The sequence below is a fragment of the Homo sapiens genome, chromosome 1 (assembly GCF_000001405.40).
Source record: "Homo sapiens chromosome 1, GRCh38.p14 Primary Assembly".
In the NCBI taxonomy this organism is placed as follows: domain Eukaryota; kingdom Metazoa; phylum Chordata; class Mammalia; order Primates; family Hominidae; genus Homo; species Homo sapiens.
This window is the reverse complement of record NC_000001.11, coordinates 59,067,955-59,088,543: the sequence shown is the minus strand read 5'-3', so window position 1 is coordinate 59,088,543 and position 20,589 is coordinate 59,067,955. Positions and strand designations below refer to the sequence as shown.

The window sequence follows — 20,589 nt, the reverse complement described above, 5'->3', positions numbered from 1 at the left end:
TTTGCCCCCAAGGCTGATGAATCCTATTCTTCACTACTGGAGAAGAGGGAAGGTCTTCTATTCTTGGACAGAAAAGAACTCAACATAAGATCCGACTTTCTTTATTAGAACCATCTGCTCTGGGCAGAAATTTGCAGATCTTGGTAATATGCTACATTTCTAAAGATTTTTCTTATTCTTTTTGACTTTGGGTGTTTCCAATTCAGGTATATGAATCCAAGGGAACAGAAGTAGGGTATAGAAAGAAAATACAAGAGACCGAATGAGCACTCACTATATTCCAGGCATGCTGCCAGTTGGTTTCACCTACATAAGGATGTTTAATTTTCATTACATTTCAGGTGATCTGTATTATTATTTCAATTAAATAAATGAGGAAACTGAAACTCACAGAGGGTAAAAGGCTTGCCCAAGTTCTCAGAGCTCTAGAGGGGCAGAGTTAAATTGTTTCTTGGTCTTCTGATTCCAAGGCTATGTTCTCTTGTATGTTCTTGGTCTTCTGATTCCAAGGCTATGTATACTATAATGCCTACGAGAGAGAGAAGAGAGGAAACGTACTACGGTTTTCCCTAGTCAGACTCTTTGCATGCATTTTGGGGAATGTGGGGTGGTGGTAAGAGCTCAGGCTTTGGAGAGAGTTTGCAATGTACCTGTAAGGCTGCACCAGTTGTTAAAATAGTAAAAATTGAAATATTTTTATACCAATTGATAGATTTCTGTTGCCCTGAGTCCCTTGAATATTCTCTGTTACCTCAGCCATTCCAGACTCTACTCCAGGATTTTCCATACCCCCCTGTGAGTCAGCAGCCCAGTGGTTAAGTCATTGGACATTAGAGGGCCTTGAGGACCCTAATCCAATTCCTTGGCTAATCTATTCTGATTCATAGGTATCATTATGATATGGTTTGGCTGTGTCCCCACCGAAATCTCAACTTGAATTGTATATCCCAGAATTCCTATGTGTTGTGGGAGGGATGCAGGTGGAGGTAATTGAACCATCGGGGGCTGGTCTTTCTCATGCTATTCTCGTGATAGTGAATAAGTCTCACGAGATATGATCGGGTTTCAGCTTTTGCTTCTTCCTCATTTTCTCTTGCTGCCACCATGTAAGAAGTGCCTTTTGCCTCTCGCCATGACTCCGAGGCCTTCCCAGCCATGTGCAACTGTAAGTCCAATTAAACCTCTTTTTCTTCCCAGTCTCAGGTGTGTCTTTATCAGCAGTGTGAAAATGGACTAATACACTTTACTATATCCATTGTTAATAATTTTGAGTACCATTTCTGCCCCATTCTCCTTCCTCCTCTCTCATGAACCCAGTCCATCTATGGAGATTTCTATCTTTGCTAATATGAGTCCTTGATTTTTGTGGTGCTTTATGTGAAATATGCGTAGAGAAAAGCAGGAGAGGTAGTCCATACAAGGCAGAAGACAGAAACTCAGTTCATCTACATTATAAAGAATTGAGAGGAGATATAGGAAAGAAAATAGCACCTTGAAGGCTGAAGTTTGAGAAAGAGTGCCAGTGTGTTTGCTGAGGATGTGGTCCTGCAACAACAGTCAAATTCAATAAATTAGTAAGGAAGGAAAGATTTCTTGAGACATGTTTTTTGGGAATTGATCTTTCTTAAAGTTTTCAAAGGACATAAGAGAAAATGAGAATTTGTTTCTAATTACTACTGGGTTATGCTTCTTTATATTCTAGTCAATGCAAAGACTGGGCCGCATGAAGCTCCGGATTTCTGAAGGCGACAAGATGATCTCTAAGATTCCTTCCAATGTTAATCACATACAAAACACCTGAATCAATCCCTCAGAGGTTCATCAACTTCTGTGGGTTCTATAGGTAAGATGACAAGCTATGAGGTCACATGAAACTGATCTCAGTATGTGAGTTACAGTCTTGGATGTACCTACATTTGACTGTGAGTTCTTAAGAAAGTATCTTACCTTTATTGGTCTCAGTATTTTCATTCGTAAAATAGTAGGTAACATTTATTGCTGTTGCTTATTTTGAAATTGATTTTGTTGTTACTATTTTTTGAGTTTGACTTGTGCCACTCTACTTTTTGTCTATCATTTAATTAAATCCGTACAGCAAATGCATGAATTATGTATGATCATTTCCTTTTCACAGAGTAGACCTAGAAAACATGAGAGGCATGCATAAGACTCCTTGCTAGACAGCGGCAGAGCTGCAATTCACGGTGTCCTCTCTGCTCCAAATCCAAAGCTTTCTCCTTTACAACATATGGCTTCCCAACCTACCTCAAGACCCTAGACTGGAAGTCATGAGTAAGCTTTTGTCTAAGAGAATGCTTTGAAAAATATAAAATGCCATAGAAATATCAGGGTTTTAAATATATATTATTAGCTACTCATCTTCTTCTCTGTACTTTTTGTTGTTTCATCAAAATTGACCTTATAGATTTGAGGTGGACACTGGGATGCATCTCCCATATCTCCTTCCTTCCTTCTTTCCTTCCTTCCTTCCTCTCTCTCTCTTTCTTTTTTTTTTTTTTTTTTTTGAGACAGGGTCTCACTCTGTCACCCAGGCTAGAGTGCAGCGGTGCGATCTTGGCTCACTGCAACTTCTACCTCCTGGTTTCAAGTGATTCTCCTGCCTCAGCCTCCCAGGTAGCTGGAATTACAGGCAAGTGCCACCATGCCCAGATAATTTTTGTAATTTTTGATAGGACAGGGTTTCACCGTGTTGGCAAGGCTGGTCTCGAACTCCTGGGCTTAGGCAATCCGCTCAACTCAGCCTCCCAAAGTGCTAAGATTACAAACGTGAGCCACTGCATCTGGCTCCAGATCCCTTTTCAATCAAGAACTTGTTACTCTAGTTCCTGAGGTACTGTCAACCTTTAGGGAAGAGATGGCTGATCCCAAGTCACACTCCTTCCTGTAGCAACCTACATCCAGTGACTGATTGATACAGGAGTATAAAGAGCTCTGGCTTTCTTGGCTTCACTTTTGACAACTCTGAAGGGTCATTTTAGTTCCAGAGCTGTTGGTGGGGTTGGCCAAGATAGTTTTAGAGCCTGCATCATGCTTTGCCTTCTCGCTCTGCCAGTCCTGATTGTGGCCTTTCCCTCTTCCACAAGTGTTCATCTCAAGGCATTCCCTGAGAACATCCTGAGTGCTAAACACCTTCTGAGCCTGCTTCCTAGGGAGATCCATCCTGTAACAATATTTTGTTAGAATTGGTTCTTCATAAGTCTGACTTCCCTACTGACTTGAAAACTTCTTGAGGGCAGGAAATGTGTCATATTCATTCCTAAGTCGCCAGTGCTTGGCTTGATATTAGGTCCAGAAAAAAAAAATTCATTGTATGTTCAATGAACCTCTGGGATAATAATAATAATAGTTAACCATTATATAGTATCCTCGATCAGCTAAATTCTATATTAAAGGCTTTGAACATATTAGCCTAAACCTACAACAGTCCTAGAAAGTAATATTATTATTATTACCATTTTACAGATAAGTAAAAGCAAGCACCTAACGGTTCGAAGTTCTACCCAAGCTTACATATCTAGTGGTGGATCTGGGCTTTGATTGCTGGAAGTCTGTCTCTGAAATTCACTCTCCTAGCCACTACTCCTTACTGCTTCTTGTATCTGTGTACCTATCAATCCACCACTTTATTGAAGGGGGATAGGAAAGAGCTAGGTAAGAGGATACGAAGGGTAGTTTTTTTGTTTGTTTGTTTTTTGTTTTTAATTTCAGGGGAACTGGAATTACCACAGAACATTTCTGGGGATGGAGTGTCTGCTTGTTTTGCCTGGAGTCCAGGCAGGGCATATGAAGAGTGTAGGGCAACAGAGCTCCCCAGGTGACTCAGATGCACAGGCAGGTGTGGGAATCCCTGATGCAGGGGGCAGTTTCAAGTGTGCAGAAGGCACTTACACAATTGCCATAACAGAGGCCCTAAGATGTGAAATGATCTGGCAATAGCTACCCTGGTAGAGAGAGAGGAGCCAAGACTCTCCCTTGTTTCAGGGTCCTGGTCCAGGGCTCTTTGAGCTGCACTTCCTGAAGTGGGGCCAGGAATCTGCCTTGGGCATGGGGGGGAACCACATACCTCACACGTGCATCTAGTGATTACTCAGGAAGTGGAGGCTTTGGGGCTGACAAACGGTACACCGGAAAGGAGAGGGGAGAGCCTGCCAGGAGGGGGTCGGCAAAGCCAGTTCCCTCAAAGCATTGTCCTTTCCTTCCTCCAACAGGATGCCAGGAGCCCCACAGAAAAGGGACTCATTTGTCTTCCTTCCCAGCACAATAACCTGTTGCTGGCCTTTCTCTTGGGCCTTGCTCAGAGCAACAGGATACAGTCTTTGCCAGGGGAGAAGGAAGGAAGGAAGGAAGGAGGGGAGGGAAATGACAGGAGCTCAGGATCTCCAGTCCCTAGCCTGGGCCCCGGAGAGACCCAGCACTGTGAGGCCAGGACCCAGACTAGAGCTGTCCAGGTCCAGTCGGCCTGGTATGAGGAACAATTTCGTTTTACAGAAAACCTTAATCAGATGTAAGCTGAGTAACCGTTAGAAGCTGAGCTATCATTTCTGAGCATATCTGAGTGGCCTCTCTCCAACTTTTATCTTAATCTCATTTAGAAAAGAAAAATAAATTGGGTCAATTTAGAACTGTACCTTCTTTCCTTTTTTTATTCATTGTTAAAAAGAAGAAAAGAAGGTATGCATTGGAGTTTGTTTGTTTGCCATGGAAAAACCCTCTTATTTGCTTGATTAAACAAAAATAACACAAGCTACATAGGAAAAATTTCAGCTACATAGACACCACCTTTGTTTTAAGGCTGTAGTAGTTGACATAGCATCTTCTTGCTACTTTCTCTAGCCTTCTCTGTGGACCACAGTGATACATTCAGAAGCCTGTTAGTTAACACAGGAGTTTTTGAACACTTTTCTATTGGTTTTTCACCTGCTCATTGTCCGTCATGCCTGAGGCCTGCAAAAGTAACCTTTAAAATTTAAAGGTGAAAACTACTGGGCACAGTGGCTCACACCTGTAATCCTAGCGCCTTGGGAGCCCAAGGCAGGAGGATAGCTCAAGTTCAGGAGTTCGAGACCAGCCTGGGTAATGTAGTGAGACTCCATCTCTACAAAAAAAAAAAAAAAATACAAAAATTAGCCGGGTGCCGTGGTGTGCACCTGTAGCTCCAGCTACTTGGGAGGCTGAGGTGGGAGGATTGCTTGACTCAGGATCATTGGAGCCTGGGAGGTGGAGGTTACAGTGATCTGAAATTGTGCCACTGCACTCCAGCCTAGGCAACAGAGTGAGACCTTGTCTCAAATTTAGAAAAAAAAAAGGAGGGTGGGGTATTTGGGGGGAAGCTAAAAGAGAAAAAAAAAATGGGGCATTTTTAAAGCTCTTTTTTTAATAATTGAGGTTCTTCTGGTCTCACCCGAAACCTACAGCATCAGAAAGTGCATGTGTGTGGATGGTAGAAGCGTGGAGGGGGCTTAGCTGTGGAAAAGATGGCAGTGGGTGGGTTGTAGAATTGGAATCAATATTGCAATCCACCACAGAGGTATAAACAAAACTGAACAAATCAATGCATTTTAATAAATGTTTATTTGTTGCATTTATGAACACATATAAATGCCAGACCCTGTGCTGGGTGTGGGTTGTACAAAGCTAATTCTGAAGCTTATAGTTCAATAGGTGGCTCAGATGAGTAGTGAATAACTGAGAGCATTAGAATTATTTACACAGGGAGAGTCAGCTGTCTGGGAGACTGGGGGGGCCCTCCTGAGGTCCCTTACCCTGGCCAAGCACATGGGGGAGAGGGACAGATGAAAGTGAGTCTGAGCTCACCTTCCTCCGTGGGAATGGTTGAAGAAATTTGCACTCCTTTTAGATGAACATTCTAATCTTGCCTCTAAGACTCTTCCAAGGTGAAAAAAAAAATTCATTATATTCAGTTAAAACATGGGCCCTTGATATGAACTCTGCTGCCTGTCAAAGAGATCACATAATTAATTTTTAAAATTAAAGTTATTTGGATTTCAGCACCGACAATTTAGTGATGAGACTAGTGCTCTCGCATACACACACACTCTCTCTTTCTCTTTTCTGTGTTTCCCACCTGGAGTTGAGATGCAGATGTGAGGTGGTGAAGAGGGCCTAAAGGCATTTCTGTGATGGGCCCTGAGGAAAGACGGGGAAGAAAACAAAGTCCCTGGCCTGTGTAGCTCCCAGCCCTGCTGGAGGTCATAGTAGAAAGTAGTAGACTGGGACAAGGTCTAGAGTCAACTGACTCCATCCTGTCTTCACCACTCAGAGTTGCCCTTGGAGAAGATTTCCTAAAAGAGGTGAGAAAAACAGGAAGGGTGGGAACGAGCGAGAGGGCCAGGGAAAAAGAGGGGCAGAGGAGACACTCATTTATTAAGTGTGCGCTCTGTCAAGCACTTTACACATAGGATTTCTCTTGGTCTTTACTATTAATACATCTCCATGAATTACAAATGCTCATCCTCATTTTCCCCGGGGTGAAAATGGAGGCTCAGAGGGATGGATGATTCATACACAGTCATATCACTGGAGAGGGGAAGAACTGGGATTCTTCCCCAAACCAGCCTCATTCCAAAGCACATGTTCTTTAGACTACCCCACCCTTTGGATTAAAAACCCTTTCCTGGCTGATTTTGCATTATCTGATGAAACTGAGATGTGACTGGATGGCAGGTGAACCTCGCCTGGTGAAGAGCCACTCCACTGCCCAATGGGGAAGGTGCCCTCTTTCAAGTCAACAAGGGCACACTTTCTTTCTCAGAACTTTAATCATTACTTTACAACTTGTAATTTATCCTCCTTTCTGTAGGTATCTGGTGTTTCTTGATTGTTAAGGAAGGGAGGAAGTTTTGGTTTATTAAAAGAGAGAGAATTTTTCTGGCTAATGTGTGGCCCATGAGCCACAGACTTCGCATCACCTGGGAGCTTGTTATAAAGGAAGAATCACCAGTCACAGTCCTCTAGAATCAGAACTTCAACAAGATCTGCAGATGTTTCATATGTACATTCAAGTTGGTAATGCATGGGATAGAGGACCTGATTTAGATTCAGGCCCGGGTTCAAATTCCCATTCTACAAATAAGACCTTGGGCAGTTTACTGAATTCCTGTGGGTTTCACTTTCCTCACTCATAAACTAGGAAAGATGATGCCCATTGCACAAGCTTGTTGGAAGAGTAAGGGAGCAATGTTAACTTCAGTGCTGCTATTCAGTATGTCAGTATGCCATCCATGAATGGTACTTCTTTTCTGCCCCATCTTCCCTTCCAAAAAAAAGCATTTCCTCTTCAAGAATGTGCACACTACAGAATCTGTTCTCTGAAATAAAATGCTTCTGAAATACTAATCATATCCATTTGACCAGTGCTTTGCAATGTGGTAGCGACTTGTCATGCATGATGATTTAAATTAAAATTAAATAGAACACTTCAGTTTATCTGTTACTGTAGTCACATTTCAGTACTCAGAAGCTGCATATGGCTAGTGACTAGTGTGTTGGACAGCATTGATATTGGACATTTTCATCATCATGGAAAGTTCTACTTGACAGCATTACCTGGACACCTCCTATTTCTCCTGGGTATTTGCTAACCCACAGCTTAACTGCTCATGCAGTAGGAGCTCAATAGGTGCTCCTTGGCTTGAACTCTGCAGCCTCCCTTATTGGAAAAGAGAAATGATTTGAGAATCCCAAGATCTGTTTTCCAATTACTGCTCCATCTACTCATGAAATGTGTGACCTTGGGTAAGTCACTTTTCCTCTCTGAGCCTCAGTTTTCTCATCTGCAAATTTAGAGGGGGAAAGGTAATAAGAATACCTCATATTAGTCTAGAAGCTTTTTCACTTTTTATCTCTTTTGGTAGTTTCAGCAGCCTTTCATCCCATAGGGTGACCAACTCATCCTAGTTTGACTGGTCCTGAAAACTGAAAGTCTCACGTCACAGGAACCCCATCATTCCTAGGCAAACAGGACGGTTGGTCGCCCTACCTACAGGTCCCCTCCAGTTATAAAATCCATGGTCCTGTGCAAGCCTCAGAGTGGTGTGCCAGAAGCCCCAAAACTGCTGCAAATACCAGAGGAGTATGAGCGCAGGCTCTGAAATCAGACAAACCTGGGTAAGATGCTGATGCTCCCACTTTATTTCGATGCAAACTTAGGCAAATTCCTTAATTTCTCTGAGACTTAGTTTCCCCCCTGCAAAATGAGAGTGCTAATGATACTTCTTCCGCCTGGGTGTTGTTGTGAAGATTAATTTAACAAAGCTTTGCAGAATGCTGAGCGCTCTGAACAATGTGAGTAATTCAGCAGACTCTGGAAAGGGGGCTGATCTACCTTTAGGGAGACTGTGATTAGGACATTCATGTGTAGTCCAAAGTATCTGCTAAAAGAGAGATGACTTGCTTATGAGCCATTAAGTTCCTCTTATCAAAAACTCCCACAACCTCTGCCCCAGACTCAATTCGAATAAATAACAGTTCAAACTGGTTAAATAGAGCACATTTCAACTCCCCCTGCCCCTGCTGGGATAGTGACTCTGATGCAGCAAGTTTACTGAAACACAAACTAATCATTCCTGTTGCCAAAGTAGGCTTTTGGCAGAGGTCTGTTAAGAAAGAAGAGTGAGAAAAATGTCCTGGATTGCTGAGGCAGCACTGTATTTAGACAATTAAATTTGGAAAAGCAAGACAGTTCCTGTAACTACCTCCCACATCCCCTACTCCAAGAACAAAAGGTTTTGTTGAAAGTATTCATATGGATATTAATACTGAAACTTTAAGGAGCCCCTCAGTAAACTCATCAGCTAAGTAATTACACCCAGCCATGGTGCTACCAGTGGGAAGGGTACAAAATCTCGCCTCCAAAAATTAGTCACTTGTAAGTTAACCCCACAGTCACGTCAAGCAACCCACACTTGATGGCTGATTCACAAAGATTCCTTGACATCTCTGTAGTTAAAGGGGCCAGATCACCATGGGAAGTCTGCAGAAAGGGAAAAGTTCACATTTACAAAAGACCTTTATGTTGGAGAAGAGTTTTGAGGAAAGCAGGGTTATAAGTTAGTCATTGGGTTAATGAGGGCAGAAAAGACTAATACTGCCAAGCACTTGTTGGGTGCCAAGCAGGGCGCTGAGCATTGCACCTGCCTGATCTAGTTTAGTACTCACCTAAATCCTGGGGGCAGGGATGTTTCTACCATGCCCAGAGGAGGAAACTGAGACTCAGGGGATGTGGAGGGCTTTGTCCAAAGTCTCACTGCTAAAGTGGCAGAGCCAGAGCTTTGAACTCAGGCTCTAGGTGAGATTTGAGCCTCACCTATGAAGTTGAGATAGAAGAAAAAGATGGGAGTTTTCTTTTTTACTTACAGGAGTTGTTGCAGGGGTTAAATATTCACCTTATGTTTGGCCTTGACCCTCGGAATGTAAATCCATACAGGAAAGACTCTCTTTGCTTTCCTAACCCACCCAATCTCTAATTGTCTCTCTCTCAGTCTCAGAGTCTACACAAACGACCAGGGCTCAGACCTCTCATCTACTACCCGGACTGCTATATCTTTGTCCAATCTTTTATCTTTCCTTTTTTCTAGCTGGTTATATAGGGAAATAGGAAAGACTAAGAATGAAAGAAAGGGAGCAAATAAGAGTGAATGAGAAAGAATGAAAGAGAATAAAGAACCAAAAAATTGAATAAGGAACATTGAAGAAGAGCAAATGAGAGTGATAGGTTAGGCTTTTTTGTCACCCAGACTGCGTTTGAATCATTGCCCTTACATATAATTGCTAGCTGTAAAATTTTGAGTAAATCGCTCTGTCACTCAGTTTCCTTTTCTTAATTTCATAGGATCATTGTGATGATCAAATAATATTGTCCATGCATTTTCTGTTCCCCATTAGGCACTCCATAAACCAACCAACCTCCCTCCCTCTTGCTAACTTCCTTCTGGTTTAGTCCTTGAAACAACTCATGAAGCAAGTGGTATTTATATTCTCATTTTACAAATGAGGAATGGGGAGCCTAGGGAGAGGAAATAATAAGGATCACCCAGCAAGTGAATGTCCTAGCCAGAATTCAAATGCAGATCTGTCTTTCTCCACTACTTAAGAAAGAAAGAGCAAGGTTGGGGGTGGGGGCAATCTGAATGGCACAGGCTTTTACAGTTTCTCCTTTAGCTGCTCCACTGGAGGGCTGTTGAGAAAATTATCCAAATCATGTTAATGAGCAATTGAGTGCTGAGTTTCTCTGAGGGAAGATAACGAACAAAAGCTCTGGTTAGGGCTGGCAGCCAGGAGCTGAGATAGTTATCTCAGCTGATACCACCAAGGGGCTCTCAGCTCAAATAATTAACTCAATTGCCTCCTCTCAGGGGTGAAGTGGGGCTAATAAAACGTAACCACCTAGCCTGTGGGAAAATGACTGAGTGCCCATAGATGAAGTGCTTTCAAGACTGTCTGGCACCTAGAGGTATCATCGCAGAAGCCTTGGTGAGTACCGGCTGGGCCCAGGGAGAGCTTTGACTCCTTGGAAGGAGCCCACCAGTCTTGATGTTGGCTCAACAGAAGTGGATCTGAATCCAGGATGTATCACTCCAGAGCTTAGGATGTTGGATGTAGCTCTCAACCTCTCTTGAGACTTGGTTCCTCCTCTATAAAATGGAGTTAGTAGAATTTACATCCTGGAAAAGGTGTTAGATGGGTATAAAAGAAAGATCTCCATACAGGACCTGACACAAAGCAGTTACTCAGCATACTTGAGATTTCTTCTCCTACAACAGATGTCTTTGGGGAAGGAGAAGAAGAAAGAAATGCAGTCCCCACAGGCAAATAAACTGATTTGCATCGTCTTGTTAGGGAAATGGCAGTTTCCCAACTCTAAGATTTGAGTAGGCAAATCACTTTTACTGACGGTGAGTTTTAATGGCTTCAGCCAGTTGGTCTTTTCCTCCCACCGCTCCATTACTACAGAAATGTATTTCCTTTATCCTTCTGACCCACAGTCTTTGTTGATTGAGAGCTTACTTGAGGCACCGTGGTAAATGCTTTCCTGAGATCTCTTATTTCACAATAATAAAAATGAGTGATCGCATGTATCCTCCAACAACTCTGGAATAGGTGCAATTGTTATCCCTATTTTACAGATGAGGAAACCAAGGCACAGAGAGGTCAAGTCACAGGCCCAGGGTCATTTAGTAATAAAAGGGAGAGTTAAGACTCAAACACAAGTTTGAGTCTGAGTCCACTGCTCTTAGCATGGTTGGAGTCAGGAACTCTTTCCTAGATCACCCTGCAAACACCAGCTGACCAGGCTGAGCAGCTCATCTGTTCAGTTCAGTCACTCCTTCCTAGAGTCTGATGTCCTGCCACCCTCACCTCCTGAAAGCAGGTTCAGAGCTTCATAGTTATTCGGAAGTCACTGGTTACCTTTCCCAAAGCATCAGTAGGGTTACCTGACAAAGAAGGTTATACTAAAGTTGCCAAATTGAGTCGTGGCCCCTCTCCCCTTGCCCAGCCCATCTCTCCTCGCTCATTCTGTAGATCCAGGCTTCCTCTTCCCCTCAGTGCTGCATGGCACACAGTAGATACCTCCCCCTCAGTGCTGCATGGCACACAGTAGGTACCTCCCCCTCAGCACTGCATGGCACTCAGTAGGTACTTGTCTGTGGCCTGAGCTCTCATCACATTTACAGTCTTGCTATATGACTGACAGAGAATATATATGACAGAGAATATGAAAAATCATATTCTCTGAACCACATTTTCCTTATCTATAAAACCAGCAGGGGGAGAGATGGGGATAATTCCCAGAGAGAAGTAACATAGCTAGAGATTAAGAGCATAGGCTTTAAAGCAGACTGCCAGAGTCCATATCTTGCTCCTACTAGTTCTGTAACCTTGGCCAGTTCATGTAACCTCTATATGACTCAGTTTACTGTAAAAGGCAGATGATAGCAATAGTACCTAGTTTTCAAGGGTGTTGTGAGGAGTAGTGAATACATGTAAACTACTTAGAACAACCTTCTAAAGGGCTGTATTCAGGATTTAATAATAATAATAAAACAATTATTACTGCTTGTATCCTGTTACAGAATATAAACATTTCACAGATCTCATTAGCCTCTCATGGAAGCCTCTGAGAGGTGTACCCTACCTCTTTACTTTTGAGATAACAGAGATTCAGAGAGGCCAAATAATTATTCCAAGATCACGCAGCCTGCAAAGGACTGAAAAGGGATGCAGACCCAGGGTTTCTCTCCTCTGCAGAGGCAGATATATGGTAGAGCCTGACATACATCTTGGTGAGTTTTGCTTTCGCTCCACGCCCCTTCCTCCTCCATCTCTGCGTATACCTGAGAATGTCTATGTAATCTAAGCCTTAGTTTCTTTAACTATAAAATGGGGGTGATACAGACTATCTATCATCTGGGAATATCTAAACCTTTGCTGTTCAAAATATGAGCCACAGAACAGCAATATCAGACTCCCTGGAGCTTGTTAGAGATGTGAACCCTCAGAACTGCTGAGCCCAAATCTGCATTTTTAACATGATCCCCCAGGTGATCTGCATACATGTCAAAGTTTGACAAACACTAGACTAAAAGATGTAAAAGTGTTTTGTAAACTATGAAGTCAGGTACACCATGTTAATAGTAATTTGATAGAAATGAATAGCAGCATTTCCTATACTTGCTCAGTATTTCCATTCACACGGACATTACTGGTCACTTGCTCCTGAAGAAGGGGAGGACAAGAAAGTGACCAAAGAGAGGCATTCTCTTGGTTAAGTGAATTGGTTCCTGGGGGAACATGCTTATGTGGGACATATACTAAAATATTATTGTTGCTTATCTGAAATTCAAATTTAACTGGGTGACCTGTATCTTTTGTTTTTTGTTTTGTTTTGTTTTGTTTTTGAGACGGGGTCTTGCTGTGTCGCTCAGGCTGGAGTGCAGGGGCAGGATCTCAGCTCTCTGCAACCTCCGCCTCCTGGGCTCAAGCGATTCTCCTGCCTCAGCCTTTGGAGTAGCTGGAATTACAGGTGAGCACCACCATGCCTGGCTAATTTTTGTATGTTTAATAGAGACAGGGGTTTCACCATGTTGGTCAGGCTGGTCTTGAACTCCTGATCTTGTGATCCACCCACCTCGGCCTCCCAAAGTGCTGAGATTATAGGCATGAGCCACCACAACTGTCTGTGACTTGAGTCTTATCTGGGAATTATTCCTAAATGGATCCAGTTGTCTTTTAAGTGCAAAGTCCCTGACGTTTGGGGTATTCATTTAGCTAATCGCAGAGCCCAGTGTTAGGGCCTCTTTTGATCCTAAGGTTACTGAACAATGGTAGGGAAGGGAATCCTATTAGCAAGTGTCCCACTTTGTGGAGTACCCATCATTTCCAGTCGCTTTACTTAGACAATTACTGCTTCAGTCTTGAGACTTGCTGCTCCAAGTGTTGTTATGGATCAGCGGCGTTCCTTGTTAGAAAGGCAGAAAGAATCTCAGGCACCACTCTAGACCTACAAAGTCACCTGCAGTACAGGTGACTAACATGTACGTTAAAGTTTGAAAGGCATTGGGCTAGGCTATTTGGGGTAAGGAATAGTCAAGTATTCCTTGAAAAAAAGAATCACTAGTAGACTTGATTTTTTTCTAGACTGGTTTAGGTGTACAGCGGAATTGAACAGAAAGTACAAAGTTCCTGTATACTCTTCTCTACCTTCACCTAGTTTTCCCTATTACAAACATCTTGCATTAGTGTACTACGTTTGTTACAATGGATGAACCAATATTACATTATTACTAAGTCAAGTCCATAGTTTACACTGAGGCTCACTCTTTGTGATGTACATCCTATGGCTTTTTGTGGGTTTTCTTGAGGTGTAAATTTTACAATTTATTAAAATTTAAGGTACATTATAAAACTTAACGCTTGTAAGAACCCCGTGAAAGTAGATAATTGAGGGTATTTCTAATTAAATTTTACAAATGAGAAAGCTGAGGCTCAGGGGGGTTATTTAACTTGTCCAAAGTCACAAGGCTGCCAACTGGCAAAGGCAAAATTTAAGGCTAGATCTCTTAATTGAAATAAATATATTTTCTTCCTCAACTACAATGACTTACACAATCTGTTCTCTGTTTTAAAAAAAATATTTCAACTTTTATTTTAGATGCAGGGGGTACTTGAGCAGGTATATTTAATGAGTATATTGCATAATGCTGAGGTTTGGGATACATATGATCCCGTCACCCAGGTGTGAGCATAGGATTCAATAGACATTGAGTCCTTGCCCCGCTCCATGCCTCCCCTCTTTAGTAGTCCTCAGTGTCCATTGTTGCCTTCTTTTTTCTTCTTTTTTTTTTTTTAGACAGAGTCTCGCTCTGTCGCCCAAGCTCGAGTGCAGTGGCGCGATCTCGGCTCATTGCAAGCTCCGCCTCCCAGGTTCACGCCATTCTCCCGTCTCAGCCTCCCAGCTGGGACTACAGGTGCCCGCCACCACGCCCGGCTAATTTTTTGTATTTTTAGTGGATACGGGGTTTCACCGTGTTAGCCAGGATGGTCTCGATCTCCTGACCTCGTGATCCCCCTGCCTCGGCCTCCCAAAGTGCTGGGATTACAGGCGTGAGCCACCGTGCCCAGCCTCATTGTTGCCTTCTTTATGAGGACCCAATATTTAGCTCCCACTTATAAGTGAGAACATGCGATATTTGGTTTTCTGTTCCAGTGTTAATTCACTTAGGATAATGGCCTCCAGCTACATCCATATTGCTGCAAAGGACATTATTTCATTCTTTTTTCTGGTGACTGTGTGGTATTCCATGGTATACATGTACCATATTTTCTTTATCCAATTCACCATTGGTAGGTACCTGGGTTGATTCTATATCTTTGCTATTGTGAATAGTGCTGTGATAAACATACATGTGTCTTTTTGGTAAAATGATTTACTCTCTTTTGGATATATTCTATGGGTTTTGACAAATGCATGATGTTGTGTATTGGCCATTACAGTATCATATAGATTACTGTGTTACTGCCCTAAAGATTCCATGGGCTCCACCTGCTCATCTCTCCTGTCTTTTCCTTGAACAAACTACTCATCTGTTTACTGTTGAATACCGTCTTGATTTGTTTACAAAAAAGAAAGAAAGAAAGACTCCATCCATAAGGACAAAGAGTATGTTTCTGATAAAGAAGCTGATACTTGCCCAAGGTCACCAAACTAGTAAGTGTAGAAGCTGAGTTTTCAAGTCATGTCTGCCTAACTCCAAAATCTGGGTTTTTTCTTTCTTTTCTTTTCTTTTCTTTTTTTTTTTTCCCCTCTCTATTATGACCATGCCCTCTCTTACTAGGAGAGGAGACATTTGTACTTTCGTGCTATAGGGAGGGTGTAGATGTCCCTGCAATTGTTCCCTCTAAGGATAGTTTTGGGGCAGGGAGAGGGCATCTGTCTGGTGTTTGGACTACTGAGGCTCCCAAGGGTTCCCAGTGGGCACTTCAGCTGGACCTGTAGGTAAATTTCTAAAATCTCCCACCAGCTGTTCTTTTTTTTTTAATCACCTCACTCAAACCAGTTATTATTTACAAGTGGGAACATAGAAATGCTAATGATCCTGACTGGGCTTGCTAATTACTCCTTAATCAACTGCGAATGGGCCTTCGCTACCAGCCCTGGGCGGCTGAGAAGAGGGCTCCAGCTGGACAGAGTTAAAGGGAAGCAGCTTGCTGAAGTGCCACTGGCCTTGAGAATAGGAAGCCGTGGAGTGTGGTGGGAAGTGTCTTCTTTGCATGTTTTCTGCTCTGCTCTTTTGTCCTGATGCTTTGGCCCCATCATGAGGTATCCCAAGGGAGGCCAAGGCATTCAGAGGATGTATGAAGCCAGACAAAGCCGTAGTGAACAGTTAGCAAGCAGAGGTTAGTCAACAAATGATGATTGGATCTATACAAAATGTTGGATATTGTGTTGAGTGCTTTCTTCCTGACCCTGTGAAGATTCTGGTTTTGGAGAGACGACATGGAGGCAAGTAAACGTGTAGGGAGGAAACTTCGAGGAACACTTATGAGAGAGGAAGTCATGAGTCAGAGGCACCTGCAGGGGGGCAGGAGAGAACAGGAAGAAAACACTTACAGGGCATGTTCTAAAATATTTGTTGAATAAATTATCTAAAATAAAACACTTTCTATGAGAGATACTTTAATAATAATAGCTGCCACAAATTGTTTACCTAATATGTGCCTGGCCTGTGCCAGTCCATCACAATGACCATTTGAAGTAGAGGTTTACTGCACCTATTCTATAGATGCAGAAACTAAGACTTATAAAGGTTAAGGGTCAGACCCACAGTCATACTTCCAGTAAGTAGCTCTGCTGTTTTTCTGATTACAAAGCTTATACTTATTCCATGGCTGGGTCTGCCCTTTTATTTGGTTAGACGTTTAGATGATACAATAAAAATAGATATTTCAAAACTCAAAAGTTAGAGAAGGGAAAATCCTACATTACATCAGTAAAGGTCCAGCCGAGAGAGAAACCATACCAGTTATTTTAACATGGAGAATATAATATAGAGAATTGCTGCCTGGGAACTCAACAACCAAAATGGCAAAAAGAGAATGCTAAGGTATCATGGAGCCAACAATTACAGGAAGCGGCTGCCTCTGGGACTGGGACAACCAAAGAAAGAGGTTGGCATTATTAAAACTTAGAAATATGGGAGAGAAGGCCCTGCAGAGATGAAACTCAGATTCTGAGAAGGGACACTGCCCGGCTGATGATAGTGTTTCTGAGTTTGAAGGACAAGTCTCATTGGTCTGGGACCCAGATCTCTGAGGAGGGGGCTCAGATTGGTTAGTGTCACTGAGGGGGCACAATGAGGCTGTTTCTGTGAGTGTTAGAAAAACTGCAAATTGGATTTAACCATTGCTCCTGAAACAACTGCTGCTGCCATGGTGAAGAGACATTGCTTATGAACATAGGAACGGGAAGTAAACAGAAAGGAGGAAGCAAACAGAAAGGAACAATCGCTTCTTTCTCTCCTCCGGGTGTGCAGCCTCCTGCTGTGGCCCCCATGGGCTGAGCTCAGCAGGTAACTAGCTAGTCAAGCTGAAATGTGGTTTGCAGTGTTCTAGCTGCAGCATCTCGAAGTACACGTTGTGGTTTGTGAAAAGTATCTGAAATTTAGCATCCAAAGACCTGGAGTACTGCAAAAGCTTTTAATTGGTTTTCCTTATTTCAGTCTTAAATCTATAAACCATGCCTACTGCAACCAGAGTGATTGTCTTAATCGTAAATCATTTCTCTTTCTAAACCTACAATGGATTCCTACTGCACTTGCAGCTACTTAAACTCCTTGATCGGTTTGCAAGACCTTGTTTGGTTTCCAATGTCTCCAGCCTTGCCTAAACCACTCTTTCCCTCAATCGCTATATCCTGGCTACAGCAGCCCTCATGGAGTTCTTTAAATTCACAGAGCTCTGTGCCACCTGAGGGACTCTAGACTTGCTGCTCCCTTGGTACAAAATCTTCTTCCCCAATTCTCAGTCTAATTCCTCTTCATTTTTCAAAGCTGAGACTAAACATACCTTTTCCATTCTCTGATATTTCTGCCTCTTGGCTGGACCTTTATTGATGCAATGTAGGGTTTTCCCTTCTCTAACTTTTGAGCTTTGAAATATCTATTTTTATCTATTTTATTGCATCATCTAAAAGTCTAAGCAAACACTCCCCTGCCATTTTTCTTACTGCACACTGTAAATATTTACATACAATTTAATGCACTTGTGTGTTTTATTTGTAACTACTAAATATCTATCTCAGCCATTGCACTTTGAGCCTTAGGAAGGCAGAAATCCTGTCAGTTTTTTTGTCTCATAAAACCATGGGTCTGGTGTAGAGTCATTACTCCTTAATTATTTGTTAAGGAATTTGTAGGTTTTTATCTAGCCCCCAGATTAATGGTTGTGTACCTCATATTACTTTTAGGGAATATTTAAGTTCTTCAAGGGCAGGGACCACATCTTATAGGCCTTGTATAGTAATGGGCAAAGAATAAGCATTGATGGGCTGGGCGTGGTGGCTCACGCCTGTAATCCCAGCATTTTGGGAGGCCAAGGCGGGTGGATCACCTGAGATCAGGAGTTCAAGACCAGCCTGGCCAACATAGTGAAACCCTATCTCAACTAAAAATACAAAAAATTAGCTGGGCGTGGTGGCGGGCACCTGTAATCCCAGGTACTTCCGGAGGCTGAGGCAGGGGAATCGCTTGAACCCGGGAGGTGGAGGTTGCAGTGAGCTGTAATCGCACCATTGTACTCCAGCTGGGGTGACAAGAGCGAAACTCAGTCTCAAAAAAAAAAAAAGAAAAGAAAAGAAAAGAATAAGCGTTGATGAAGTCTTGTTGCTTTTTTATTCATAGTAACTAGTCATATACAACGTCACCTACAGACTGTCCAGATTCTTTGGTGCATTTTCAAGTCTTCTATCTGGAGCTGGTAGTGGTTGTCTTAGGGGACAAAACAGGGAAACTGTAGTCACAGGTAAGCATGGAAAACATATATAGAAGTGCTGAAGAGCATAGGCTACAGATTGCCTGGGTGTGAAACCCAGCCCTACCACTTACATGACCCAGATAACCCTGGGAAAGTTGCTTTGCTTATTCTCATTGTTTCAGCTTCCTCAACTATAATGGTAATAATAATGCCTTCTTTATTGGGTGCTGGAGGGTGTATTGAGGTATTCATATTCACAGATGCTAATGGAAAAATACAAATTTAAGTGAATATGTAGGACAGTAGTCCCCCCTTATCCTTGGGAAATACATTCTAAGATCCTCAGTGGCTGCCTGAAACCATAGATATTACTGAACTTTCTATATATTAGAGTTTTTCCTATACACATATATCAATGATAAAGTTTAATTTATAAATTAGGTACAGTAAGAAATTAACAGTAATAGCTAGTAATAAAATAAATTATAACAATATTCCAGCATCACTACTCTTGCACTTTGATGCCATTATTAAGAAAAATAAGGGTTACTTGAACACAAGCACTGTGATATAATGTAACAGTTGATCTGATAACTGAGATGGCTACTAAGTCGCTAACAGGCAGGAAGTATATACAGTGTGGATACATTGGACAAAGGGATGATTCAAGACCCAGGTGGGACTATGTGAGATTTCATCATGCTACACAGAATGGCACACAATTTAAAACTTAGGAATTGTCTATTTATATAATTTTCCATGTAATATTTTGGACCACAACTGAAACTGCCAAAAGCAAAACTGCAAATAAGGGGGGACTACTGAACTGTGTTTGGAAATATAAGCACCTGACAAATATTAGCACCTGCCTCTCAGCTAAATTTTACTTGTAACAAGGAGCTGCCTATATTTTCTGTCACCCTCTTCGAAAATAGAATTGGTTATGCAGTATCCCATGACCTGAAATCTTTATTTTCTATCAACACTACTTACATGTCAGGCTAAGACTTCTTTGTTCACCTCACCTTCAGGTGTAACACTCAGTTTTTTTATTTGTTTTTTTTTTGCAAGGCCATTCTTGTGTGTTAACTTAGATTTTTCAACTGCATTATATGTTTCTCAAAAGCCACATTTTAATTCTATGTTACTTTTCATTTTGCTAATGAGACTTTTAGGATACAAAGTGGGCTCCACATCTACTGCTTAATTCTATCCCAACACAAGGTGAAAGCCCCTCTTGATATCAGTTTAAGTAACTGTAACAGTTTTCAGTTGCAGAGAGTAAGTATATTTAATTCTTCTAGCTAGTTTAAGGTGGACAGAATTTTTTTTTTTTTTTGGTCAACTATGCAGGAGACTATTATTCACCAATATCCATTTCCTTCCTTTCAAGACTAGGACTTTATCCCCTTCCACGTTTTAGCTGGGCATTTATGTGGCTGCCTACATTGCAATTACATTTGCCAATCCACTGGCTGATAGATATGGTCCTGTGGATAAATTATGGCAATGGGGATGTGTGTAAAAGTAACACATAAGTGTTAAGTCATTTCCTTAAAAGGAGGCTGCTTGCCTTCCATTTCTACTCCCCTACTTCCCACATACTGGATGATGGGATCTGGTGATGGGAAAAAGCTTCAGGTGGGAAACACTCTAGAGGTTAATAGGACACCAAGAAAGAAGAAAACTAAGTCATTGAATATCTTTGGGAGATAGAGCTACTATATTCCCCTGGACTGCCTACCAGCTTATAATTTTATGTGAGAGAGAAAAAAAACTTTTACTTTGTTTAAGTGTCCATTATTTATCTTGGTAAGTCAGCCAACACAATGTCCTAATTAAAATATATTAGTATTAAAATAACTTGTAGAATTGAGCTTTTATAAATCATTCCAAAGCCCTGGGCAATACAGGGATCTTCTATTTTTTTCCTTGGACCTCCTGTGAAATGGAAGCTTTGGTTACAAAACTACCTCAGCACTGCCCTAACCTGGAAGAGCTATGTTATGTATGATACAGTCTGTACCAACAGAATGGATGTTCAGTGCCTTGCCTCCTGGTCCCCACAAAGCAAGTGAC

The 20,589-nt window shown here is 42.0% G+C and overlaps 1 long non-coding RNA gene across 1 annotated transcript in view, besides 4 other annotated features; it reads right to left on the bottom strand.

Moving 5' to 3' along the window:
- Positions 1 to 296: 296 nt before the first annotated feature.
- The window catches only part of LINC01358 (long intergenic non-protein coding RNA 1358), a 67,772-nt gene continuing 47,479 nt past the window's right edge, over positions 297 to 20,589 (bottom strand). Inside the window, exon 3 of the long non-coding RNA NR_110626.2 lies at positions 297 to 529. This is a non-coding gene — a long non-coding RNA (long intergenic non-protein coding RNA 1358). The remainder of the gene's footprint in view (positions 530 to 20,589) is intronic.
- Positions 9,828 to 10,369: an enhancer, noted in NCBI's record as "OCT4-NANOG-H3K27ac hESC enhancer chr1:59543847-59544388 (GRCh37/hg19 assembly coordinates)". NCBI's record gives its function as "activates a minimal SCP1, AML or CMV promoter by ChIP-STARR-seq in primed H9 embryonic stem cells {active_cell/tissue: H9 hESC(primed)}" and the evidence as "EXISTENCE:reporter gene assay evidence [ECO:0000049][PMID:30033119]".
- Positions 10,370 to 10,913: an enhancer, noted in NCBI's record as "OCT4-NANOG-H3K27ac-H3K4me1 hESC enhancer chr1:59543303-59543846 (GRCh37/hg19 assembly coordinates)". NCBI's record gives its function as "activates a minimal SCP1, AML or CMV promoter by ChIP-STARR-seq in primed H9 embryonic stem cells {active_cell/tissue: H9 hESC(primed)}" and the evidence as "EXISTENCE:reporter gene assay evidence [ECO:0000049][PMID:30033119]".
- Positions 10,433 to 10,727: a silencer, noted in NCBI's record as "tiled region #331; HepG2 Repressive non-DNase unmatched - State 7:EnhWF, and K562 Repressive non-DNase unmatched - State 7:EnhWF". NCBI's record gives its function as "represses a minimal TATA promoter and a strong SV40 promoter by Sharpr-MPRA in HepG2 and K562 cells {active_cell/tissue: HepG2 | K562}" and the evidence as "EXISTENCE:reporter gene assay evidence [ECO:0000049][PMID:27701403]".
- Positions 11,458 to 12,001: an enhancer, noted in NCBI's record as "NANOG-H3K27ac-H3K4me1 hESC enhancer chr1:59542215-59542758 (GRCh37/hg19 assembly coordinates)". NCBI's record gives its function as "activates a minimal SCP1, AML or CMV promoter by ChIP-STARR-seq in primed H9 embryonic stem cells {active_cell/tissue: H9 hESC(primed)}" and the evidence as "EXISTENCE:reporter gene assay evidence [ECO:0000049][PMID:30033119]".